The sequence below is a fragment of the Homo sapiens genome, chromosome 11, assembly GCF_000001405.40.
Source record: "Homo sapiens chromosome 11, GRCh38.p14 Primary Assembly".
Classification (NCBI taxonomy): domain Eukaryota; kingdom Metazoa; phylum Chordata; class Mammalia; order Primates; family Hominidae; genus Homo; species Homo sapiens.
In genome coordinates, this window is record NC_000011.10 from 41753651 (window position 1) to 41781395 (window position 27745).

General features: G+C 36.4%; 1 long non-coding RNA gene across 1 annotated transcript in view, besides 1 other annotated feature; it reads left to right on the forward strand.

Annotated features, from left to right (window-relative positions):
• The window catches only part of LINC01499 (long intergenic non-protein coding RNA 1499), a 121875-nt gene that overhangs the window by 39083 nt on the left and 55047 nt on the right, over positions 1–27745 (forward strand). The gene's annotated exons all lie outside the window — the stretch shown is intronic.
• Positions 222–1421: an enhancer, noted in NCBI's record as "CDK7 strongly-dependent group 2 enhancer chr11:41775422-41776621 (GRCh37/hg19 assembly coordinates)". NCBI's record gives its function as "activates an origin of replication core promoter dependent on BRD2, BRD4, P300/CBP, MED14 and CDK7 cofactors, with strong dependence on CDK7, by STARR-seq in HCT116 cells {active_cell/tissue: HCT116}" and the evidence as "EXISTENCE:reporter gene assay evidence [ECO:0000049][PMID:35650434]".

The following is a 27745-nucleotide window of genomic DNA, read 5'->3' on the forward strand; positions in this document are numbered from 1 at the left end:
GCCTTGGCCTCCCAAAGTGCTAGGATTACAGGCGTGAGCCACCGCCACCATGCCCGGCTTAGTTTTGATTTCTTTAAGTTGAACTTCATTTTTCTCTGGTGCCTCCTTGATTTGCTTAATCATTAAGCTTCTGAATTCTTTTCCTGGCAATTCAGAGATTTCATCTTGGTTTGGATTCATTGCTGGTAATCTGGTGTGATCTTCTGGGGATGTTAAAAGAAACTTGTTTTGTCATATTACCAGAATTGTTTTTTAGTTCCTTCTCATTTGGGTAGACTATGTCAAAGGGAAGATCTAGGACTCAAGGGCTGCTGTTCAGATTGTTTTGTCCCATGGGATGCTCCCTTGGTGTGGTGCTCTCCCACTTCCCATAGGAATGGGGCTTCCTGAGAGCCAAATTGCAGTGATTGTTTTTACCCTTCTGGGTCTAGCCACCCAGCAGAGCTACCAGGCTCTGGGCTGGTACTGGGGAGTATCTGCAAAGAGTCCTGTGATGCGATCTGTCTTCAGGTCTTTCAGCCTTGGATATTAGCATCTGCTCTGGTGAACACACGAGGGACATGAGGTGGACTCTATGTTAGAGTCCTTTATTGTATTTTTGTTTAGTGTTGATTGGTGTGCAGCCAGGACAAGTGCTTTCCAGAGTGCATCAGCTGTGGTACTATAGGGAGAAAGCAAACTTGCCCTAGGGTGGGCTGGTTAAGTATTCAGCTTTCTCAGGAGGTGGGCAGGGCCATGGAGCTCTCAAGAGATTGTGTCCTTTGTCTTTCGCTTCCAGGGCCAGTAGAGAAAGGCCACCAGGTGGGGGCAGGGTTAGGTGTGTCTGAGCTTAGACTCTCCTTGGGTGGGGCTTGCTGAAGCTGCTGTGGGGAATGCGGGTGTGGTTCTCAAGCCAATGGAGTTATATTCCAAGGGGGATTATGGCGGCCTCTGCTGTGTCATACAGGTCACCAGGGAAATGGGGGAAAGCCCTCAGTCACAGGCCCCACCCCACCCCCTGCAGCTCACAGTCCTAAAGGCCAATCTCATTCCCACTGTACCCCACAAACAGCACTGAGTCTATTTCCAGGCAGCTGTTGACCAGGGCTGAGAACTTGCCCCAAACCACCAGCCTCCCCTCTGAGAAAGCAAGCCAACTCACAGTTTTTTTGGCATCTCAGAAAGCCTGCAGCAATGACCAGTTTCTTCAAAGGGTCTGTGGATTCTCTCAGCTTTCCTGTTATGTTGTGGTGGTAGTTCTTGGAGCAAGAGTTTATCATGTGAGTTTCCACATGCTGCTCTGTCTGTCCCAGTGGGAGCTGCAAGCTAGTCCTACCTTCTATCCTCCCTCATTCATTTTATTAAATAGTAACATCTCTCAATCGTCATCACCTTTAAATTACTCTGAAGCAAATTTGTTATGTTATATGTCAGTTTAAAAGTTCTTTAACTGTTTTCCATTTTCTTCCAGAAGAAGTACAACATTCTTAATATGTTTCTGAAGACTTTCATGTTCTTAGCCCCTACATGATTTTCCAGGATAATTTTTCAATATGCTCCATCCTTTCCATCTTGCCTCCATTAGCCATACACAGTCTCTATCCAAGTGCCACAAGTTACTTTCCATATCTCAGCCATTTCTGAGGTATAAATACTTTTGTGAGTAACTTCTCCCCTTCCTTGAATATATTTTTCTATGTTCATCTGAAAACTTTGAAGGCTCAGTGAAATATTATTCAATGGTCAAAGTCTTTTTAAAAATTCTGAATAGTTAAAATCTCATCTGAAATTTTATATTACTTTTTACTTATTATTAGAGCCTCATTTACTCCTATTAAATATTTGTCTGTTTCCTTCAATAAGGGATCTGAACCTTAGGAGACCATGTATTAATTATCAGTATATTACCCCATCTTACACCATGACACAGTAGATACTCAATGGCTACTTGAAGAAAGGAAGTTTAAATAATTGAATACCCTTTAAGGAATTATTTATATCTTATTAAAATTTACACATTTTGAAATGTGTATTTTTTCTTTTAAAATATTTTCTACTGTGCTTCTGTATGCTGAATAGCATCCTTAAAAACAATGCTTCCTGGAATTATATAGCCTAAATAATTTCCATAGTCCTCAAATACTCATTCATGCTTTGCTGTAGTACCTTTCTTATGAATAACCAAAGGACCAAAACCATACTGAGATTCTCTATTAATGTAGGTTAGTAATTTTTTAAAAAGTGTACTGTTGTGTATTGTGTATTTACTAACATACTACATAGTAGAATTTATAATAATTAAAAATTAATCCATTAAAATAAATGGTGTAATCAGGGTTGTGCCATTGTTGCTTCTATATAATTTATTTTCATTTACTGGTCAATTAAAAATATGGCAATTATCCATGAAAGTATTTGTTTTCTTTTTTTTTTCTTCTTTTTAATTATACTTTAAGTTTTAGGGTACATGTGCACAACATGCAAGTTTGTTACATATGTATACATGTGCCATGTTGGTGTGCTGCACCCATTAACTCCTCATTTAACATTAGGTATATCTCCTAAGGCTATCCCTCCCCCCTCCCCCCACCCACAACAGACCCCGGTGTCTGATGTTCCCCACCCTGTGTCCATGTGTTCTCATTGTTCAATTCCCACCTATGAGTGAGAACATGCAGTGTTTGGTTTTTTGTCTTTGCGATAGTTTGCTGAGAATGATGGTTTCCAGCTTCATCCATGTCCCTACAAAGGACATGAACTCATCATTTTTTATGGCTACATAGTATTCCATGGTATATATGTGCCACATTTTCTCAATCCAGTCTATCATTGTTGGGCATTTGGGTTGGTTCCAAGTCTTTGCTATTGTTAATAGTGCCACAATAAACATACATGTGCATGTGTCTTTATAGCAGCATGATTTATAATCCTTTGGGTATATACCCAGTAATGGGATTGCTGGGTCAAATGGTGTTTCTAGTTCTAGATCCCTGAGGAATCGCCACACTGACTTCCACAATGGTTGAACTGATTTACAGTCCCACCAACAGTGTAAAAGTGTTCCTATTTCTCCACATCCTCTCTAGCACCTGTTGTTTCCTGACTTTTTAATGATCGCCATTCTAACTGATGTGAGATGGTATCTCATTGTGGTTTTGATTTGTATTTCTCTGATGGCCAGTGATGAGCATTGTTTCATGTGTCTTTTGGCTGCATAAATGTCTTCTTTTGAGAAGTATCTGTTCATATCCTTTGCCCACTTGTTGATGAGGTTGTTTGTTTTTTTCTTGTAAATTAGTTTGAGTTCATTGTAGATTCTGGATATTAGCCCTTTGACAGATGAACAGATTGCAAAAATTTTCTCCCATTCTGTAGGTTGCCTGTTCACTCTGATGGTAGTTTCTTTTGCTGTGCAGAAGCTCTTTAGTTTAATTAGATCCCATTTGTCAATTTTGGCTTTTGTTGCCATTGCTTTTGGTGTTTTAGACATGAAGACCTTGCCCATGCCTATGTCCTGAATGGTATTGCCTAGGTTTTCTTCTAGGGTTTTTATGGTTTTAGGTCTAACATTTAAGTCTTTAATCCATCTTGAATTAATTTTTGTATAAGGTGTAAGGAAGGGATCCAGTTTCAGCTTTCTACATATGGCTAGCCAGTTTTCCCAGCACCATTTATTAAATAGGGAATCGTTTCCCCATTGGTTGTTTTTGTCAGTTTTGTCAAAGATCAAATAGTTGTAGATATGTGGCATTATTTCTGAGGGCTCTGTTCTGTTCCATTGGTCTATATCTCTGTGGCTGCTGTAACAAATTACTACATAGTGGCTTAAAAACAATACAAATTTATTATATTACAGTTCTAGAAGTAAGAAATCCAAAATGGGTTCCACCAAACTTACATTAACGTATTGGTAGGAATGTTTTCTTGCTGGAGGCTATAGGAGAGAATCCACTTATTTGCCTTTTCCAGGCTCTAAAGGTCACCCACATTTCTTGGCTCATTGTCCTTTTCATTTATTTTCAAAGCCAGCAACATCTGACCAAGTCCTTCTCACACCATGATGCTCTGGTTTGTCGCCTGCCTCCCTCTCTAAGGACAACTGATTAGCAAACTTAATTCCACTGCAACCTTAATTCTCTTTGCCAGATTAACTATAATTGATTCTAGGATGTAGACACCTTTAAGGGTGATGTTATTCTTCATACTGTAATGGAAATATGCAGGAGCAGCCTAGTTTTAGCCAGCCTGAAATCATGACAAGTTTCCCTAAATAATCTTCCCAGAAGGACTGAGTTCTAACAAATGAATTAGGCATTGCCTAAATGGTCAGATTGCATATATCAAGACTGTGTTTACATAATGAAGGGTTTTACAGTTCTCTTTCCTCTCTTCCAACCTCCCTGTTTTTCTTTATTTCTTCTTTCTAAAATGTTTACTAAATGTGTACTGTATGTTAGGCCCTGGAATAGGTATTACAAATAAAATGACAAAGACAACAAAATTCCCATGATTGGGGAGCCACAGTGTTACAGTGTTTTTTATATATATATAAAATTTTTTTGTATATAAATTTTATATATTATATTTTATATATATTCATATATATAATACACACACATATGTAATTTGATTGTCTTTGGGTATATATATACGAAAACTATGTTGTTCCTGCATATTTTTATTGTGTTAGGAAGAATAATGTCCTCCTCCAAAAGATCTCCCCATCCTAGAACCTGTTACAATTAGTTTGCCTGGCAAACGGAGTTAAGATTGCAAATAGAATTAAGATAATTAGTCAAATAATTATAATGTAAAAATGGTAAGGCAGGTTTACTAAAACCTGTGTTATAAAATATTTGTCCCAGAAATTGCTTTATATAAGGAGTCCAAGTCAAATATATTGAGAAGTGTTCTACTTTATAATACTCCCTGTGCCTTATCCAACTTACATTCTATCCCTGGGAGGATCACAAGGCACATTAGTATATTACAAATTCTCAGTCAAATATATTGAGAAGTGTTCTACTTTATAATTCTCCCTGTGCCTTATCCAACTTACATTCTATCCCTGGGAGGATCACAAGGCACATTAGTATATTACAAATTCTCAGTCAAATATATTGAGAAGTGTTCTACTTTATAATTCTCCCTGTGCCTTATCCAACTTACATTCTATCCCTGGGAGGATCACAAGGCACATTAGTATATTACAAATTCTCAGGATTTCTGCAATAGGGAAATCTGTTTATTAGGTAAGTCCTTTCCAAATTTATATATTTTGTTTCATTTTCTGTAATGGGCCTATTCATTTCCTCAACAAATCTGTAAACATACTATAAAAACACTCCTCTAAAAGAATGAAGACAAGAAAATAATTTACTTTACTTGGTGATTTTGAGAGGTTGAGACAGTCTAGGCCGGGCGTGGTGGCTCACACTTCTAATTACAGCACTTTGGGAGGCCGAGGCAGGCAAATCACTTGAGGTCAGGAGTTCGAGACCAGCCTGGCCAACATGGCGAAACCCTGTCTCTACTAAAAAGAAAAAATTTACCTAGACATGGCAGCATGAGCCTGTAATCCCATCTACTCAGGAGGCTGAGGTGGGAGAATTGCTTGAACCCAGGAGGCGGAGGTTGCAGTGAGCTGAGATTGTACCACTACACTCCAGCCTGGGTGACAGAGCAAGATTCCATCTCAATTAAAAAATAATAATTAATTAAAAATAAATTAATTAATTAAAAAGCCTGACTGAAAATTGAGATATTTAAGCTTCACTTATGCCACAGCAGGTGATCTTCAAAGAAGAGCCCTACAAACCTCCTATCACATCACCACCACCACTTAAATATGTAGGCTGCTCCCCAGATGTTCTTCATATAAATAGGAGAGCTTATTTTCCCTCCCTGTAAATCTAAATTGGACTTGTAGCTCTTCTTGACCAATAGTATGCAGCAGAAGTAACGTTTGGGGGCTTCCAAGTCTTAAAAAGTCAAGCAGCTTGCACTTCTTCCCATTGAAGTCTAGCTGCCATTCTATGAGAAAACCAAGCCACATGGAGTAGAACAAAGATGTCCTTGTGAATGGCTCCAGTTAAACACCCATTTGACAGTGACAACTTAAGTCATGGATGTATAACCCAAGTCAACTTCTTCCTGGTAGTCCCCAGCTCTCCGTGCTACTCTGGCTGACACTATATTAAGCAGAGGTGGGAGATGCTTCTACCAAGTGTTGATAAATTGCAAATTCATGAGCAAATAATATGGTTTTTGAAAGTCACTAAATTTTGGAATAGTTTGTTACATATCAATAGATAATTGAAATATATGCCTTGAAAGAGAAAAAGAAATTTGGCTAGTAGTCTTAATACAAAAAACACCACACACAAAGGAAGGTGTATAAATGACTATGGCTTGTTCCAGAAACAAATGGCTCAATGTGACTGAAATATTGGGTGAAGGGAGGGGAGTACTGCCTTTAGGGCTTTCGAGATAAATAGGGTACAAATAATAATAGGTTTTGGACTAGCATAAGGCTTTAATTAAACTATTCTAAATATATTCTGTTGTGTCATTTTTGTCTTCCATAGGTTTCCCTTTCTTCTCCTAGTAAAAATCTTCTATTTGTCTTCTGGGAAACTACTCCTTTGTCACTTTCAATCTACATGTCTTGGGTGGAGCAAACATATATGAACAGATATATTAAAAAACAAAAAAATGTACACTCATGAGAGGTCCATACTTGATTAATCAGATCAGTATATAACTGGCCATAGTTTGGCTATAAAATAAATCTATGTATGACTCAAATTGGATAAATCTGGGTTAATCCTAGAAATTTTGCTTAGATTACCAAGGATGCTAAACTGGGAAAAAGTGATTTTGGAATTACAGGAAAGTGCATGACTAAGAAATGAGCCAACAGAAAACATTAGGGCTGAAAAATAGAAAGAAATATAATTCTATGGAATCTTACATTCAGCTCTAATCTGTTTAGTTATGTTGGCCAATAATTAACTTTTTAAAAAAAATTTAGCTGGCTTGAGTTGGGTTTCTGTCACTTACAACCAAAAGGCTCTTGATTAATAAAGGGGAACATTATTAGATATAGAAATAATATAATTGGTTATGCTCTAGAAAGATGACTCTGGTTTTCCTAAGAAGGCAAAGGCAGAACAAGGGTAAAAATTGCAGCAAATAAATAATGAGGACTTTCCGAAATACAATGTGAAAGTGAGTTACTTGCTTCTTAATCTTTTCCTTGTGGTGACAAAATATAGTAGAAAAAAGAATGAGACAACAAAATTGTCAATGATTGTAGGTATATAATAATTCATATTTTAATAAGTTAATCATTCAAGAAATATTAATCTCTACCTATGTTTGACCATGGGTTCTCAATCTTGCTCCTTTTTGACTCAAATTTCTGAGGTTATTCTTGACTATTGGCGTTAAAAAAAATCACCAGAAAATTTTTTGTGCAGCTAGGATTGCACCTTGATAAGCATAAAAATTATACAATAAGCTTCTTTAAAATATTGATTTACTAGCCACTACCTAGACATTCTTTTCAACTAAAAAAATTTAATTATTATGAGTACATATTGTATATATTTATGGGTTACATGTGATGTTCAAACATTCTTAGTAAGATTATAGTAAAGTGGAGAATCGGTATTCTCCAAGAAAAATCATATGAAAACTTTGACCTACAAGGTTAGCACTTTCCAGTTCTTGACTCACTTTTGAGCAGAGATATTAGCAAATCATCAATTTAAGATCTATCACCTTAAGAGGATCTTTTTCTGTTTCTCTGGATGCAGCAGCAGGAAAGTAGAATAAGTCACGGGAGTTTTTGTGTCCACTAAACTGCCCTGATCTTAAATGGTCTACTTTTTGCAACAAGGCACAGGCTTATTTCTTTCACCACTTCCCAGACCTTTTAACAGTTCTTATACCAACCAGAATAGAAGCCCTCCTTTCAATTAATTAACTGGATGTTGGCAACTTATTTTGTTTGTGTTAAGAACTCCCACACTGACAGACTGCCTACTTTAAAAAAAGAAAAATAAATCACAAGATGACCAGTGTGACTAAAGCAGAATCAAAGAATTAGAAAATAAAGAGATTAAGTCAAAGAATCAGTTTAGGTTCAAATTGCATGAGGACCCATAGGTCGTAACAAGAACTTTGACTTTACTCTGAGAGCAATGAAACATCATTGGAGGACTTTCCCCACAAATGTGACTTATTCATATCTTTAATATGATGATTCTAGATGCTCAGTTTAGAACAGGATAAATTGAGCAAAGAATAGAGGCACAGAGACCAGTCAGAAACTAATTACAGTAATTTAGGCAAGACATGATAGTGTGTTTTTTCAAACTGATAGCAAGAAATTGCTAAATTGGTCAGATTCGAGAAATAATTTAAGAACAGGGTCAACAGAATTTGCTAACTGCATGAAGATATGTTAGAGGAGAGTCAAATATGACCCCAGAGTTTAAGGACTATGTAGGTAAAATAATTATTTTGTAATTGAAGTAGAAAAGACTGAAAGAGGAAGAGGTTTGGAATTGAAAGATCACATGTGCATTTTTAAGTCTGAGACTGCTGTTAGAAACACAATTAAAAATACTGAATTTTAAGTTAGATATTTTTTCTTATTGACCCAAATTTCAGGGTCAGTTCTGGGCAGAGAGTTTAAAACCTGGAATGATAAGGATATAGATATTATTTAAAGGCAAGGCATTAAATGAGATCACAATGGGAAGGAGTATAAATGGAACTTAAGAAAAGATTAAAGACTGAGTCCCCAGAAAATCTTACATTAAGGGAGAGTTTTCAGAGCTATTGCTTGACTAGAGTAGCTTTAATAAAGAATAAGGAAATAGCGATAATGAGTAAAAAACTCTTCTTCAGACTTTTCTGTAGAGGAAAGTAGAAAGAGGACATGTAATTGTAACATAAATTGGGGTAGAGTTATTTTTAATTGAGAAAATATACTTTTTCACGTGGTATAGGAGACAAATATTGATGTTGATATTGATCGATATTGTTTCCTCAGAGATGGAAAACAAATGAGGTAAACCCTACTCATGTCTCAGCTTATTATAGTACTATCTTGATTTTTTTTTTTTTTTTTTTTTGCCAAATTGCAGGGAGGGGAAATCCAGTAAAAAGCAGATGGATTCTATGAGTTGAGGAGATAAAGAGTCCAGAGAGACAAAAGGAGGAGTGGGGAGGCTATAGTTCACAGGACACAATCCCAGGGAAGAGAGAGCTCTGTGAAGAGAGAATTCTAGATTTTGAGGGGCACTTCTCAAATATTTAGCAGAGTGCTAATTGGCACATGAATTTAAGAAACTACCTGACAATGGAGAAAGAACCTCTTTGAGGGTTAGTGGTAGTAGTTTAAAGTGCACATAAATGGCTGGTGGTTGTGCCTGTTCCCACTAGAGGAAAAAAAAAAGCCTCATGATTAGTGGAGCATTCAGTAGAGCACTAAGAAGGTTCTTGCCCTCATAATGGGGGATAATGAGCCTTAGAACAATATTGCTATAGTTTAACCTATCAAATATAAAAAGATCAAATGGTTTCCAAGCCATTTAACCATGTCCCAGAACAAAATGCAAGAATATTTATAGGAATACAAAAAATTTCAGCACTCAACAAGCTAGAATTCAAAAATGTCCAGAAATGTATTAAAGATTGCTAGTTAAGAGCAGGAAAATACAAACTATAATAAGGATAAGAACTGACTAATCAAAAGGGACCCAGTAATGATGCAGATATTAGAATTAGCAGACATGGATAGTAAATAGTTAATACATCTGAGTTTCAGATTTCTGAAAAGTTAAATAGAACCATGGAAGATTTTTAAAAGAATCAAATAGAAATTCTAGAGATAAAAATAGTGATATCTGAAGTGAAATAACACCGAATAGTGTTAATGGCAAATTAAACTTTGCAAAAGATTAGTAAACTTGAAGACATGGCAAAGAAACCCATTCAAAATTAAACACAGAGAAAAAAAAACAAGCCCAAAATTGAGAAGACCATCAGTAAGCTGTTGAAAAACTTTAAGCAATATGTAATTGGAAACCCCCCACCAATAAAGAAGAGCAATAGTGATACAACAAACATTTGAAGAAATAATGTCCAAAGTTTTTAATTTTGATGAAACCTCTAACCAAAAAATTCAAGAAAATTAACATAACAGAAAACATGATTAAAAGTACTCAGAAACACATCATAATCAGATTACTTACAACCAGTGATAAAGGGAATATCTTAAAATAATAAGCCAGAGCACAAAAGACAGAGAAGCAAAGATAATGATGAGAACAGACTTATCACCAAGAACCTTGCAAGTGAAAAGACAGTGGAGCAACATTGTTTTAGTCCATTTTGTGTTGCTGTAAAAGATTACCTGAGGCTGGGTCATTCATAAAGAAAATATGTTTATTTAGCTCACAGTTCTGCAGCTGTACAAGAAGCATGGCATCAGCATCTGCTTCTGGTGAGGGCTTTAGGCTGCTTCCACTCATGGCGGAAGGCAAAGGGAATCTGGTCTGTGATGACATGGTGAGAGAGGAAGCAAAAAAGAGGGGGAAGATGCCAGGCTCTTTTTAATAGCCAGCTCTCAGGGAACTCTCAGTGGAAGTAACATACCTGGGAACCAACAAATTGAGAACTCAATTGCTACTGCAGGAATAGCACCAAGTCATTTATAAAGGATCCGTCTCCATGATCCAAACACCTTCCATTAGGCCACACCTTCAGCAATAGGGAGGTTTGGAGGGCCAAATATCCAAACTATAGCATCCCACCCTTGTACCCTAAACCTCACGTCTTTGTCACACTATAAAATACAACAATTTCTTCCCAAAAATCTCCCAAAAGTCTTAACTTTTTCCAGCACCAACCCCAAAGTCCTAAGTCCAAAGTCTCATCTGAAACTCAAGACAAGTTTCTTCCGGCTATAAGCCTGTAAAATGAAAAACAAGTTATTAACTTGAAAGATACAATGGTGGAAGAAACATCGGGTAAACATTCCCATTCCAAAATGGAGGCATGACAAAAGAAAGGGGTAACAGGTCCATACATGTCTAAAACACAATGGAGCAGTCATTAAATCCTTAAGCTGTAAAATAATTGCTTTTGACTCCATATCCCATATTGGTGGAAAGAATGGGCCTCCAAAAACTTGGGCAGCCCTGTCCCATGGCTTTCCTGGGTGCAGCCCACATGGCTATTTCCATGGGTTAGAATTCAATGCCTACAGCTTTTCAGATTGAATGCTGCTGTTTGCTCTACAATTCTGGTGTCTGGAGGGCAGCAGCCTCCTTTCCACAGAATTTTTTTTTTGCATGAAGTGGTATAATATCACTTGAATGTAGACTAGGATAAAGATGTGTACCATAAATCTTAACCATCAACTTTAAAAAACAACAGTAATGACAAGAGTTATTATAATAGGTCAACAAACAAGATGAAATGAAATCATAGAACAGTGAAAAAGAGTAATAAAGATAAGTTGAGGCAAATAGAAAACAAATAGAAGATGATACACACAACTAATCATATCAATTGCATTACATGTACATAATCTCAGCACTCCAATAAAAAAGACAAAGATTATCAGATAGGATATAAAAGCAAAGATTAAGTATTTGGTGCTTATAAGCAACATTCTTTAAATAAAAACATAAATATATTAAAGTACTTTATTTGGGTTGGAAAATATGAACCATGTTAACACTAGTTAAAGAAAGATTAATTTTTCTATATCCACACTAGAAAAAGTGGATTTCAAAGAGAAATATAATAAAGTATCACCCTTTCAAATAAAAACCTGAAGACTAGATGTGAGCTTTATATATTTCAGCAAATAATTGAGTAATTTATCTCTGAAAATAAAGTTATCTTATAAATATCATTATCTAACTGACATAAGTTGCAAAAAAAAAAAAAGAAAATGCAAAGGATGTATGTGTCAAGAATAATAGTACAGTTACAAAGAAAGACACCAAGTTAATTCCCTGATAAATATTTGCTTGTGGTATATAAATCATAATACAGAAGGATAAAAATGATTCAGCATAATTCATATTTTCTTTCTTCAGTACATTAGGTCCCATGAACTTAAACATACAAGCTTATGGGATTGTCAAAAAATCAAAAGATTATCTTTCCCTTTGTAGTACAAGAAATGAATTTCAATGGGAACCAGAAGATACTAGACATAGATGGAACACTTGCAATATTTATGCCAAAACATTGTCTAAAAGCATAACCAAATTATTTCTGAAGATTATTACTGAAGGTTTACCCAATAATATCCTTATACTTTGATACTCTCACACATGAAAGATCTCCACACTGGCATATCATTTCCGCTTTGGTTTTATAAGCTAAATCTTTTTATTCATTGAAACACTTATTTGAGAATTAGGTCAAGAGACACAGTTCTTGCAAAATCTTACTATTATGGCTATAGGCATTCTGGTATACACCCCATCTTTTTTTAAAAAAAATGCTTAAGATCTTAAACTATGAATATGTAACTTTTTTTGCTTCTCTCTGTGGGTTACATTTTGGTATCACTCTATGTATTTTCAAAAGAATCTTCTTGCATCTTCCTGCAGTTTATAATGGAATACTACAAGTCTCACACTTGGTGAAAACACATTTAGAGAAATTAAATAATTTCTACAATGTAAAACAGTCAGTATTTGACAGAGCTGAAATGAAAACTTATTTATTTACTCAACAAAACTTTATTGAATGGCTAGTACATTCCCATCACTGTTCTTGATTTTCAGGCTACATCAATAAATAAAATGAAAAAAGAGGAAAATAAATCCTGCCCTTTGAAATGTAGATCTGTCTAATGGGGAATCACATGATACTATTACTGTCTCGTATAGCTTCTTCATCAAAGAAAGGTGAAGTTTTCAATTTATTTCCTTGAACATGGTGTTCAATGATGTATTTGATATTTCTGTGAAAATGCTGCTAGAATTTTGATAGGGATTACATTGAATCTATAGATCATTTTGGGCAGTTCTTAGTCATTTTGTGTTGCTATAAAGAAATATGTGAGGCTGAGTAATTTACAATGAAAAGAGGCTTATGTCGTTCACAGATTTGCAGGCTGTACAAGAAGCATGGCACTAGCATCTGCTTCTGGTGAGTTCCTAAGACTCCTTCCAGTCAGGGCAGATGGAGAAGGACAGCCAATATATGCAGGGATCACATGGCAAAAAAAGAAGCAGTGGACGGGGAGATACCAGCCTTTTTTAATGTTTTTATTTTAACAACCAGCTTTCACAGGAACTAATAGAGCAAAATCTCACTCATTACCACAAGGATGGCACCAAGCCATTAACTAGGATTCCACCCCCACTACTCAAACACCTCCCGTTAGGCCCTATCTCCCATATTGGGGATCAAATTTCAACGTGAGGTTTGGGGGAAAATATCTCCAAACTGTAGCAGGGAGTATGGGCATTTTTAATAATAATAAGTCTTCTAATTCATGAACACAGGAGATATTTCCATTAATTTGTATATTCTCCAATTTATTTTATCAATGTCATAGTTCTCAGAGTACAAATCTTTTACCTCCTTGGGTAAATTTATTCTTAAAATTTGTATGGAACCAAAAAGACCCAAAATAGCCAAGGCATTCTTGAGGAAGAATAAAGATGGAAGCATCACACATTTCAATTTCAAACTCTATTGTAAAGCCATAGTAATCAAATCAGTATGGTACTGTCATATAAACAGACACATAAACAAATGGAACAAAACAGAGAGTTCAGAAATACAGCCATGTGTATGGAGCCACGAATATTTGAGAAGGGTACCAAGAATACAAACTAAGGAAAGTAAATTTTTTTTCAATAAATGATATTGGAAAAACTGGATGTCCATGTATTAAAAAACCAAGGGGATTGGGTTCCTGTTTTACATCACTCCCCCCAAAATTATTCAAAATGGATTCAAGACTTAATTACATGACCTGAAATTTTTAAAACTCCTAAAAATGAGAAAAAAACTCTTTGACATTGATCCTGACAATGACTTTTGGATATAACATCAAAAGCACAGACAACATAAAAATAAATAAATTGGATTATATCAAACTAAAAAGCTTCTGCTCTGCAAAGGAAACAATTAACAAAATGAAAAGGCAACCCGTAACATGAGAAAAAACATTTGGAAGCCGTGTATTTGATAATGTGTTAATATCTGAAATACATAAGAAAATTATACAACACTGTAGCAAACAAACACACACAAAAACAATAAATATTCAGATTACAAAATGATCAAAGGACTCATATAAAGAAAACATACAAATGGGCAACAGGTATATAGAAATGTTTCTAATATCACTAATTATCAGGAAAATGCAAATTAAAATCACAATGAGATGTCACTTCACACTTAAGAGGATGAACATTATCAAAAAGATAAGAGATAACAAGTGTTGGAGAGGATGTGGAGGAAAGAAAACTTCTGTACACTGCTGGTGGGAATGTAAATTGGTACATTTGGAAAACAATTTAGAGTTGTGGAAAACATTATAAAGGCTCCTGAAAAAATTATAAAGATCTACAATAAAGCCCAGCAATCGTAGTTCTGGGTATATCTTCAAAGGCAATGTAATCAGTATCTCAAAGAAATATCCACACTCCCATGTTCATTGCAGCATTATTCACAATAGCCAAAAAAATGGAAACAATTTATGTGTCTGCTGCTGAATGAGAGGATAAACAGAATGTGGTGTGTGTATACAATGAAATATTATTCAGCCTTAAACAAGAAAGAAATCCTTCCATTTGCAAGAATATGCATAAACATGGCAGGCATTTATGCTAAGTGAAGTAAGCCAGTTGGAGAAAAGCTAACACTGTATGATCTCGCGTACATGTAAAATCTTAAAATGTCAAACTCAGAAAGCAGAACTGTGGTTGCCAAGGGATAGGGAGTGGGGAAAACTGTGAGATGTTGGTAAAAGGGTATAGACTTTCAGTGATGTGTAGAATATATTCCATGGATCTAATGCATAGTGACTATAATTAATAATACTGTATTGTATACTTAAGTACTCTTCCTCCATTAAGGAGTACAATGTGATTATTTGATATTGGTATATATTGTGAAATGAACACAACAATCAAGTTAGCCCATCTATCACCTCATGCAGTTACAATTTTATTAGTCAATTACACCTCAATAAAGCTGTATTGGGGAAAAGAAAGATTGTACTTGATGTTGATAGCGACAGGAGACAGGCAAATTCCTAGGCAGACAGGGACAGGTCCCCAGTGAAACTCCACCTTCAAGCCAAGGGCTGTCTAAAGCCTGAAAATTGAGCTACCAGTCCGGGATAGAATCCACAGACTGGGCCAGGTGCAGTGGCTCATGCCTGTAATCCCAGCACTTTGGGAGGCTGAGGCAGGTGGGTCACTTGAGGTCAGGAGTTCAAGACCAGCCTGGCCAAATTGGCAAAACCCCTTCTTTACTAAAAAATACAAAAATTAGCTGGGCATGGTAGTGGGCGCCTGTAATCCCAGGTACTTGGGAGGCTGAGGCAGGATAATTGTTTGAACCTGGGAGGCAGAGGTTGCAGTGAGCTGAGATTGTGCCATTGTACTCCAGCCTGGGCATCAGAGCAAGACTCTATCTAAAAAAAAAAAGGAACCCACAGAGTGGAGTGAGGTCTTCCATCCTATCTTACTCTCTCTTGATTGGTTCTTTCTGAATGATGCCTTTTAACCAATCAAATGGCACCTATTCCAAGTCCACCCATAAACCAATCAGCATGCATTCCCCAATTCTAAGCCCATAAAAATTGCGGACTCACAGATGGCTACCCATGTTCATGTCCCTTCTCGCTGTTGAGAGCTTTTCTTTCACTCAATAAATTCTAATCTGCCTTACCTTCTCTCTGGTGTCTGCATACCTTATGCCTCTCAGTTGCAGGACAAGAACCTGGAACTTGCCAAACGTTCAAAGCAAAAGAGCTGTAATGCTTCTGCTTGCCAAACTATGGGAGTACAAAAGCCACAACAATATGTTACTCAAGCAAAAACACTCTGAATTAACAATTATGAATAATATTTTAAGAAAGTCTACTGGGGTAGTGAAATGGCATGTAGACACAGGATTGCCTGATCTGCCAGCATGGAGATCACCTGTATGACCTGGTATACACTGCCGAGACTGGCTCAGTCGGGGAGACCCTAACCCAGCGGCGCTAGAGGAATTAAAGACACACACACAGAAATATAGAGGTGTGAAGTGGGAAATCAGGGGTCTCACAGCCTTCAGAACTGAGAGCCCTGAACAGAGATTTACCCACGTATTTATTAACAGCAAGCCAGTCATTAGCATTGTTTCTATAGATATTAAATTAACTAAAAGAATCCCTTATGGGAAACTAAGGGATGGGCCGAATTAAAGGAATAGGTTGGGCTAGTTAACTGCAGCAGGAGTATGTCCTTAAGGCACAGATCGCTCATGCTATTGTTTGTGGCTTAAGAATGCCTTTAAGCGGTTTTCCACCCTGGGAGGGCCAGGTGTTCCTTGCCCTCATTCCAGTAAACCCACAACCTTCCAGCGTGGGCTTTATGGCCATCATGAACATGTCACAGTGCTGCAGAGATTTTGTTTATGGCCAGTTTTGGGGCCAGTTTATGGCCAGATTTTGGGGGGCTTGTTCCCAACAATACACTTACGTTCATCATCATTCCTGGGAAATAAACTCCTGATATTCTTCCACTAAGTAAATTAGTAATTTTTATTTTTTTCCTCAATAATAACTTTTGAATGATAATTCCTACATCTGTAGTAAAATGTGGCATCCCTTGAAGAAATGGATAGACAAACTACAATGAGGAGAAGGAGCTCAGGAAAGGGGTGTTGATTGCACAGCAAAAACAATCAACCTGTGTATTAGGTAAATCTCTTTTGAGTAAAACCCTCAGAAATCCCATCTGATCTATCTCAGAAACAAAGAAAAAACATGTGAGGTAAGTCTGTCCTCAGGTGCTCTTGCAATGTCAGTTACTTATTGTTCTCCATGTCCTCAATTGGATATCTTCTCTCTGGCTTTCTTCTACATAAAGTGTTCTCTATACAGCACTCTCTATTTTATGGGAAATGTGACCACTTGGAACGCTAGCTTTATGCAGTAGTTATAGCTCTTACTCTCAGAGGGAGTGGATGCTAACAGTCAAATTATAAAAAGGAGAGGCCAGGCATGGTGGCTAATGCCTGTAATCCCAGCACTTTGAGAGGCTGACATAGGCAGATTGCCTGAGGTCAGGAGTTCAAGAACAGCCTGGCCAACATGGTGAAACCCTGTCTCTACTGACAATACAAAAATTAGCCAGGTGTGGTGGCAGGCACCTGTAATCCTAGCTACTCAGGAGGCTGAGGCAGGAGAATTTCTTGAACCTGGGAGCCTGGGAGGTGGAGGTTGCAGTGAGCCAAGATCGCAGCATTGCACTCCAGCTTGGGTGACAAGAATGAGACTTTGTCTCAAAAAAAAAGGAGAACTTCAAATGAATAGAATTATGTATTTCATATTAACTTTAATATTTATGTTTAATTTTGAGTCTAAAATCTTAAACATATTATAAAATTAAGCAGTTTTTGAAGAGTTTTTTTCTTAATTTTAGTTCTGTTTGCTTCTGTTATTCTTACTATTTATTTAGCACTGGGTTATAGAGGCAGTGATACTTATTCATTTTTCCTATGTGTCAGAAACTACGATAAGCATTTACCTGCATTAATTACATTGCATTGACATGAAAGCCCTATAAGAAAAGTTCTATTATTAAAAACATTTAAAAAGTTAAGTCAGTCAATGTGTAAATGACTGTGCAAATGTTTGTAGCTGATAACCAGCTGTTTTTTAGAGCACAGGTCTATGCAACACCTACCCCAAATTCAGAGGAAGCTGAGAGGCCAAAGAAAGAAGCTGAGAAATCCAGTTTCCAGAAATAAGTGTTTAATAGGGACTTATTAACAGAACGCTTGTCTGTGTCTTGGATGGCAGCGAGACAAGATGGTGAATCTTGTCTAGGGCTTATATGCCACAGGAAATGTGGTTCAGAAGGGATGTGTAGGATGTTATCCTACTGAAATAGGATAACATCAAGGTTGCTTGACCTGAGGGCATGTTTGATAGTAAGTACCTGCTGTTAGATAAAAAACAATAGGTTAATAGGAAACCTTAAGGACTTCCTGGAACTGGGGCTAGTCAGAAACCAACATGGCAAATTAGCATCCAAGATGGAGTTGCTTTAGCCTCCACATCAGCTAAGATGTGAACCTGGAAACTGAGCTTCTCTCAGGCACTATGCTATCTTTCTGTCTGTTAATATAGTAGGGAAAAATTAGACAACATTACAATGCTTATTCAAAATTCTATACATATGACTTTATTCTTACTGAAGACTGTACTTTTTAAAATGGCATGGTATAATAAAAGATCCCAAAGACTAACAGTGACACATGAATTCAAACTTCAACTCCACCACTCTCTAGCTGCAAAAATTTAGGTACTCAGCTCAACTTCTGTATACATGAGTTTCATAAAACATAAAAATGGAATAATATCTACATCAGAATATTTCATGAGGATTAAGTGAAATAGCCAATTGCTTAGATAGTAGGGAGATTATACAGTAGTGAGGAAACAACATGAATTTTACACAAATATAATTTTACAGGTAAAATGTAAAACTTGCTTGTTTAAAGTTATTAGCAAGCTTCTGAAACAGGAAAGAAATTCTCACATTCCTCTGGAATGTAAAATGGTATAACCACTTTGGAAAACTGTTTGCTGATATTATAAAAACACAAATATATACCTATCACATGGCCCACAGAGTCTACTATGTATTTACCTAAAAGAAATGCTTTGTTTACAGGAGCCCCAAATTGGAAACAACCTAAATTTCTATTAACAATTGAATTGATAAACAATGTTATATCTATAGAAGAGAGGAAATGTAAGGCAATTAGCTATTGATAAACACAATAACATAAATGAATCTCAAAATCATTATACTGAGTGAAAGGAGCCACATATGTAGCAAATACACAATAATTTCTAGTGACAAGAAGCAGATCAGTTTTGCCTGCAACTAAAAGCTGAGGGAGGAATGAACCATAAAGAAATATGGGGATCCTTAGAAGGTGAAGGAAATTTTATGTGTCTTGAGTGTGGTTATGGTTTTATGGGTATATACATCTGTCAACTTTAGCAAACTGTACACTTTAAATGGAAGCAGTTTATTGTGTAAATTATATCACAATAAAGTTAATTTTAAAGATGAAGAAACATTTAATGTGCATGGATTGAAGGACTCAGTATTTTAAAGACATAAATTCTCTCCAAATTTATCTGTAGATTAAAATGCCTTTCAAATAAAATAACCAGATTTGTGTGTATGTATATGTGTGCAATACACGTGTGTGTGTGTGAAAAGACTCTGAATCTAAAAGTTATACAGAAATTTATGCAAAGGACACAGAATAACTAAGGCAATACTGAATAATGAAGTTAGAGGACTATCATATAAATGTCCACTTTACATAATGCTATAGTAAGAATTAAAATAGTGTGGTGTTGACATACAGATAAGCACATTGACCAATGTAACTGTGGAGAAAATCTAGAACTGGACTCACTTAGATGTCAGTGATCTCTTTATTTTTTGCAGGAAACACTGCAATTCAGTGGGGAAAAATGGTATTTTCAATAAATGGTGTAAGTTTTAATAAATATTCACATAGAAAAATAATAAATCTTATCTTGTTCCTTATACAATATATTAGAATCAACTGTCTGGGCACAGTGGCTCATGCCTGTAATCCCAGCACTTTGGGAGGCTGAGGCAGGCAGGTCACCTGAGGTCAGGAGTTCAAGACCAGCCTGGTGAACATGGTGAAACGCTGTCTCTAATAAAAATACAAAAATTAGCTGGGTGTAGTGGTGAACACCTGTAATCCCAGCTACTTGGGAAGCTGAGGCAGGAGAATCACTTGAACCTGGGAACCAAAGGTTGCAGTGACCCGAGATTATGCCATTGCACTTTAGCCTGTGTGACAAGAGCAAAACTCCTTCTCAAAAAAAAAAAAAAAAAAAAAAAAAAAAAAAAAAAAACTATAGGTGATTTGTAGATCTAAATGTGGAAAAAACAATAAAACTTTTAGAAAAAAATATAAAAATACTCTTACTATTTTAAGGTAGCCAAAGTTTTTTTAATAAGAACAGAAAATATTCACTTAAAAAGAAAACTTGATAAAGAGGTGTATACTAAATTTAAAATGAATTCAAAGACATAATTAAGAGTGTCACTATTGGGGGAACCCACCCCAAATATTTCAACATAAGTTATTTCTCTTTTCCATAAGTGTCGGCCAACTGAGAAATAAAGAGAGACAGTACAAAGAGAAGAATTTTACAGCTGGGCCGCTGGGGGTGACATCACATATCGGTAGGACCGTGATGCCCACCTGAGTCTCAGACCAGCAAGTTTTTATTAAGTGTTTCAAAAGGGGAGGGGGTGTAAGAACAGGGAGTAGGTACAAAGATCACATGCTTCAAAGGGCAAAAAGTAGAACTACTAATAAGGGTCTAACAAAGATCACATGCTTCTGAGAGAACAGGACAAAGGGCAAAAGCAGAACTACTGGTAAGGTCTATGTTCAGCGGTGCACATATTGTCTTGATAAACATCTTAAACAACAGAAAACAGGGTCTGAGAGCAGAGAACCGGTCTGACCACAAATTTACCAGGGCGGAGTTTTTCCCCACCCTAATAAGCCTGAAGGTACTGCAGGAGACCAGGGCGTATCTCAGTCCTTATCTCAACTGCATAAGACAGACATTCCCAGAGCAGCCATTTATAGACCTCCCCCCAGGAATGCATTCCTTCCCCCGGGTATTAATATTAATACTCCTTGCTAGGAAAAGAACTTAGTGAAATCTTCCCTACTTGCACGTCCATTTATAGGCTCTCTGTAAGAAGAAAAATATGGCTCTTTTTGTCCGACCCCACAGGCAGTCAGACCTTAAGGTTGTCTTCCCTTGTTCTCTAAAAATCGCTGTTAATCTGTTCTTTTTCAAGGTGCACTGATTTCATATTGTTCAAACACACGTTTTACAATCAATTTGTAAGTTAACACAATTATCACAGTGGTCCTGAGGTGACGTACATCCTCAGCTTATGAAGGTAACTGGATTAAGAGATTAAAGTAAAGACAGGCATAAGAAATTATAAAAGTATTATTTGGGAACTGATAAATGTCCATGAAATCTTCACAATTTATGTTCCTCTGCCATGGCTCCAGCCAGTCCCTCCATTCGGGGTCCCTGACTTCCCTCAACATGTCACAAGCAAGCTAATATGGGAGAAAATATTTCTAATGTATATATCTGTTAAAAGAACAATATTAAGGATGTATAAATAATTTTATACCTAAATGTGAAAATGACAAATCAATAGGAAAAAATGGACAACATTCTTGCACAGATATTTAATTTTAAAAAATATCCAAATGTCCAGTAAACTTAGGAAAATATGTTTAACATTATATGCCATCATGGAAATGCAAACTAAAACTCCCAGAAAGACTAAAATGAATAAATAAGTTTGACAATTCCAAATGTTAGTAAGCATCTTCATACTTTTCTGGTGAGAGTATAAATTGAGACAGCCACTTTAGGAAACTCTTTGGCAGTATATACTAAAACTGAATTAGCTCATAATTTAGGGCACAGTAATTCCATTCCCTGGTGTATATCTAAAAGAATTCCATACTTACATTCACCAAAATATTATACAAGTATGTTCATAGGAGCATTATTTGTAATAGACTGCAAATGGAAACAACCATAAATAATGGAAAGGATTATAATGAAATGGAATTCAGTAATGAAAGTAAATAAACTGCAATTACATGCGGCAACATGGGTGGATTTCAAAAACAATATGTTGAGCAAAAGAAGTCAGGATACAAACATAGTACATAATACATAATTCCATTCACATAAAATTGAAGACCAGGAAACATTATTTAAATGTGCTGAAGTGAGAGTAATAGTTGCCTTTGTGTGTCTTGGTAACAGGGATGGGGAGTGAGGGTGACTTCTGGGATGAAGATGATGCTCTACTTTTTTTCAAAATTCATAATCAATTTTAAATTTATATGCCAACAATAAGCGTCTAAAAATAAAAAATTTAAAAGATATTACAATAGCATCAAAATATTAATATTGCTTAATTCAGGCAATATTAATATTTCTTGTTACATGAGTGTGATCCTTTTTGGAAATCCATTGTACTGCACATCCAAGATATGTACCCTTTTATTTATGCATGCTATACTTCAATAAAAAGGAAAAAAGATGAAAATAACACACATACCCGAAAAATCCCATTTATTTAAAAAATTACTTTCAGTTTCACAAATGTTTTATTCATTGCTAGAAATTTATTCATTGCTTGAAATTATCTGTGTAATTTAGGAGAACTCAGAGGAAAAAACCTCAGACTATTTTATATTTGAATATTTAGCATAATTAAGTCAAGACACTGGGAAAAGTGAAGAAAATCAAAGGAAGAATGAATAGAAGTAGATACTGCATATAATGAGGAAACATTTCAGCCCCCAAGGTCTTAAAAAAATTGTTTAGAAATAAATTATCACAATAGAGAGTGATAATAACATAAGTTTCTATCTTGGAAAAAAATAAATGGGGATTAACAAATAAGTGTCAATTTTTATTTTTGTGTTCATGAATATATATAAATGTGTGATGTTAAACATGCCGCACACACAAACTTATGCCCCTCATACTTCCTAAAATGAATGTAGAGTCCTGAAATGTTGGTGTGTGAGTATTGAGTCATTTCTGCAGTGGTTAAAATTTTCTAAACAACATAGTTCAACTCCAACTTTGATGCCCTCATTAGTAATTTGAACATTTTAAGGCTATTTGGAAACAAGCCCTGGCTGAAAGCAATGGCTGATATTATTGACCTGCAAGTTCAAAGAAAGAAAAAACCCAATAATCATTCAGGGACTTACATTCTCTAGGACATACACCAATCACAACAAATGGCCTAGATCTCTTCAGAGAAGAAATAGAGAACTATTTTTTTATACATTTGCAGTAGCTTTTCAGGATCCTTTTTCATAATTAGACTCAGCTTCTCTTTGAATCAATAGGCTCTAGAGCTCAGGGCTATGGCGAGTTATTTTTCATTCAGTGGCTGACAAGAGTTCTCAATTTTTTCTTTCTCTTTTTCTTTTTCTTTCTTTTTTCCTTCCTTCCTTCCCTCTTTCTCCTTCCTTCCCCTCTCTCTCTCCCTCCCTTCCTCCCTTCTCTCTCTCCCTTTCTTTTTCTTTCTTTCTCTTTCTTTCTTCTCTTTCTTCTCTCTCTTTCTTTTCTTTCTTTCTTCTCTGTCTCTCCATCCCACCCTCTCTCTCCTCTCTTTCTTTTTATTATACAAATCAATGCCATGGTTGAGTTAACAATACATTCTGTTCATAGGAACTTTATTATCTATTAGCCATCATCCTAGATTCCTGCAGGTAAAGACAACCCTATTTTCCCTCTAGCCTCCATGTCAATTCAGTGTTGTCAATTGTAGTCTGCCATTCTGAGATTTTCTTCATCTCTATAATATTAGAAACACCAATTTCACTGTGGCATCTCTCACTATGAACCCCAGCCTTCAGAAACTAGGCAACTGCAAGCTTTTCCAACATGCTGATGCACAACTGCATTTCTTAAAATCTTACTAAAGGTACTATCTGTTAGGTCTACACTAAAAGTGTGGTTCTCATATCAGTAGCACAATCTCAAGTCCTACTCCAGATATATTGAATAAGAATTTGCATTTTAACAAAATCTCCAGGTACTTTGGGTGCACATTTAGGACTAAGCTCTGATTTTTTTTTTTTTTTCTTGTCTTGCCCAAATTCTTATCTAAGTGGTCTGGGGAGTCATGCCCTACAAAACATAAATTCTCATCAGATGGGTTTTTTTTAAGCCTATATATCACGACTTACCTTCCAATCTGACTCTGGCATAACATCATCTCACAAAGAAGAAAGTCAAAATATTTTACCCCAAAGCATGTTTCTTTTCCTTATTTTGAAATGGCCCTGCAAAGTCATCCTTTGTGGGGGAAAATTTGCAGCTGTAAAGAATCTCTATTAAGCTTGCTAGATCTTTTTCTTACAGGCTCTCCCAATCCTGAGGAGAGTAACTAAGAGTCTAGCACTTTTTGAAGGTCTGAATAGGAAATATTTGTCATCTATTGTCTCTAAGGCAAGCCTCTATAAGTCTTCACAAGAACTATTCTGAGCAAACTATCACAAGGACAGAAAACCAAACACTGCATGTTCTCACTCATAAGTGGGAATTGAACAATGAGAACACTTGGACACAGGGCGGGGAACATCACACACCAGGACCTGTCGTGGGGTGGGGGGAGTGGGGTGGGATAGCATTAGGAGATATACCTAATGTAAATGAGGAGTTAATGGGTGCAGCACACCAACACGGCATATGTATACATATATAACAAACCTGCACGTTGTGCACATGTACCCTAGAACTTAAAGTATAATACAAATAAATAAATAAATAAATAAAATAAAATAAAATAAAATTTTAAAAAAAGAACCCTGGTCTCCAAAATCTTTTGTCTTAACCAGAACATTTGCTTTCTATTGATCCCTGGTCTTTAGACAAACTCAAACAATTGTCAACCAGAAAATATTTAAATTTACCTGTATCCTGGAAGCCCCACACCCCCACTCCCCCAACCTTTAACTTGTCCCACCTTTCTGGACCAAACCAATGTATTTCTTAAACATATTTGCTTGATGTCTCATGCTGCACCCTGACCACCTTGGGCACGTGTTCTCAGGACCTCCTGAGGTCTGTGTCATGGGCCAGGGTCATTCATATTTGGCTCAGAATAAATCTCTTAAAATATTTTACAGAGTTTAACTCTTTTTGTTGACAACATTAAAGTTGTAGAGCCATTATTGTAAGCATTCCCTGAGAAACATGTTCAAGTGGTAGTAGTTTTTTTTTTTTTTTTGAGACAGAGTCTCGCTCTGTTGCCCAGGCTGTAGTGAAGTGGCATGATCTCTGCTCACTGCAACCTCCACCTCCTGGGTTCACACCATTCTCCTGCCTCAGCCTCCCGTAGCTGGGACTACAGGCGCCTGCCACCACGCCCAGCTAATTTTTTTGTATTTATAGTAGAGACGGGGTTTCACCATGTTAGCCAGAATGGTCTCCATCTTCTGACCTTGTGATCCGCCCACCACAGCCTCCCAAAGTGCCGCAAGTGATAGGTTCTTAAGTCTTATTTAATAAATCTTTTCTAACAGCCCACCTCTTTGACCTTCTGGTCCCTTCATCTCTCCTCTTCAAAAGAAGTTTGAAGCCTCCACTTCTTTAACTGAAAACCATTTTCTTATTCCAATTTTAAAAGGCTTTCTCAATGTTAAAGGAAAATAAAAACTCAGGACCCCAATTCACTATGCCGAAAGGAAAAAAAATAAGCTGAAATCTGTCATGCAAGAAACTGCCTTTTCTTTTGTTCCTAAGCAGAGAGTACAAATAAAGATTAAATATCTCCACAGGTAGCTACTTTAAGTTCACCTTATCTTATGTAAAATGCTGATTTACTGAGCATAAGTGACAATCCCTCTATTCACTCCTTTTCTCTTGCAACTCGCAGATTACCATACTCTCCCTCTTTTCCCATCAGCCCACTTTCTTTCTTTAAATATTGAAGTTCTCAAAATCATTTTTGGAGAGAAGCCACAGACTTTAGACTGTTTCTGTGACTCTGTGTTCTTTTCTTCTGGGCATGCCCTTAACCTTGGCAAAATAAACTTCTATAAAATTTATTGAGACCTGCCTCAATAAACAAACACCAACAAACATTGGAAGCAGCTCCACCTGTCCTCAATGCAACACTGAATCCTAAATCATAACTGAGTGTCCTCATATCAAAAAGCACTCCTGTATTCATGCCCCAGCCTCAACAGTATAACATCCTCCACACCTTACCTTGGTTTACAGTGGTGATAGGTCCCACAGCTCCTTTAGTAGGAGGCTATTACTTCCTGGAGCAAAGTTCACATTTCTCTGCTTAGGTTGCATTGAAACTAATTCTGTTTTTACTTTTTTCTGGAGACAATAATATTGGAATGAAACTTGTGGAAAACCATTATTTTGGGAGACATCAACTCCAGATGTTGAATTGCCGCATAAAATACAGTGTACCCAGTTAAATTTAAAATTTAGATAAACAACACCCCCATTTTTTATTTTACTATAAATATGCCCCAAAATGCATGGGGGATACTCATATAAAAAAAGTGTATCTTTAATGTCTGAATTTCAATTTATTTGAACATTTTTTAAAAAATCTCAATAACTTTTTTGTTTTAGAATGGTTTTATATTTAGAGAATTTATATTTACAGAAAAATTGCAAAGATAGTATGGAGATTGTCCATATACTCTATACACAGTTTTGCTCGTTATCATCATCAAATGTTAGTATGCTACATTGGTTATAATTAATAAACCAATATGGATACATTGTTAACTGAAGTCCATACTTCATTGAGATTTTATTCACTTGTCCAGTTTTTATTTATTTATTTATTTATTTTATTATTATTATTATTTTTTGAGATGGAGTCTCGCTCTGTCGCCCAGGCTGGAGTGCAGTGGCACGATCTCGGCTCACAGCAAGCTCCACCTCTGGGGTTCATGCCATTCTCCTGCCTCAGCCTCCCTATTTATTTATTTTTCGAGATGGAGTTTTGCTCTGATGTCCAGGCTGGAGTGCAGTGGTGCCATCTTGGCTCACTGCAACCTCCGCCTCCTGGGTTCAAGCAATTCTCCTGCCTCAGCCTCCTGAGTAGCTTGAATTACAGGTGTGCACCACCACGCCGGGCTAATTTTTGTATTTTTAGTAGAGACGGGGTTTCACCATATGGATCAAGCTGGTCTCCAACCCCTGACCTCATGATTTGCCCTCCTCAGCCTTCCAAAGTGCTGGGATTACAGGCATGAGCCACCGCACCTGGCCACTCATTCAGTTTTTGACTAATATCTTCTTTCTCTTCCAGCCTACCATCTAGGATACTACATTATATTTGCTTCTCAGGTCTCCTTAGGCCCCTTTTGGCTGTGAGAGTTTTTCAGACTTTACTGGTTTTAGGTTACCCTCAGAGTTTTAAGAAATACTGGTTAGATATTTTGTAGGTTATTTCTTAACTGGTATTTGTCTGATGCTTTTATCATGATTACACTAAGGTGATGTGTTTTGGGGAGGAAATCCACAAATTTAAAGTGCCATTTTCATGACATCTATCAAAGGCATATATAGTATTAATATGACTCAACTTTGAAACTTATTTTTTTGAGATTTTGTATTTGGGGGTTACTGTGTCTTGAAAATACAAAAATTGGACACTTAGATCTCATGCCATTATACCAGGAAACATTTTCTTCATCTCCATTTGTCCCAAGACCTTACATTTAGTAAATGCACATGGTATGTTTAGGGAATGGATCATCGATGCTCTATTTCTTAATCAGACTATAAAAATATCATATCTGAGAATATATTGTTTATACAGCTAATATTCATTAATATTTAATCTGATGGAAACACCCAAAGGATAAA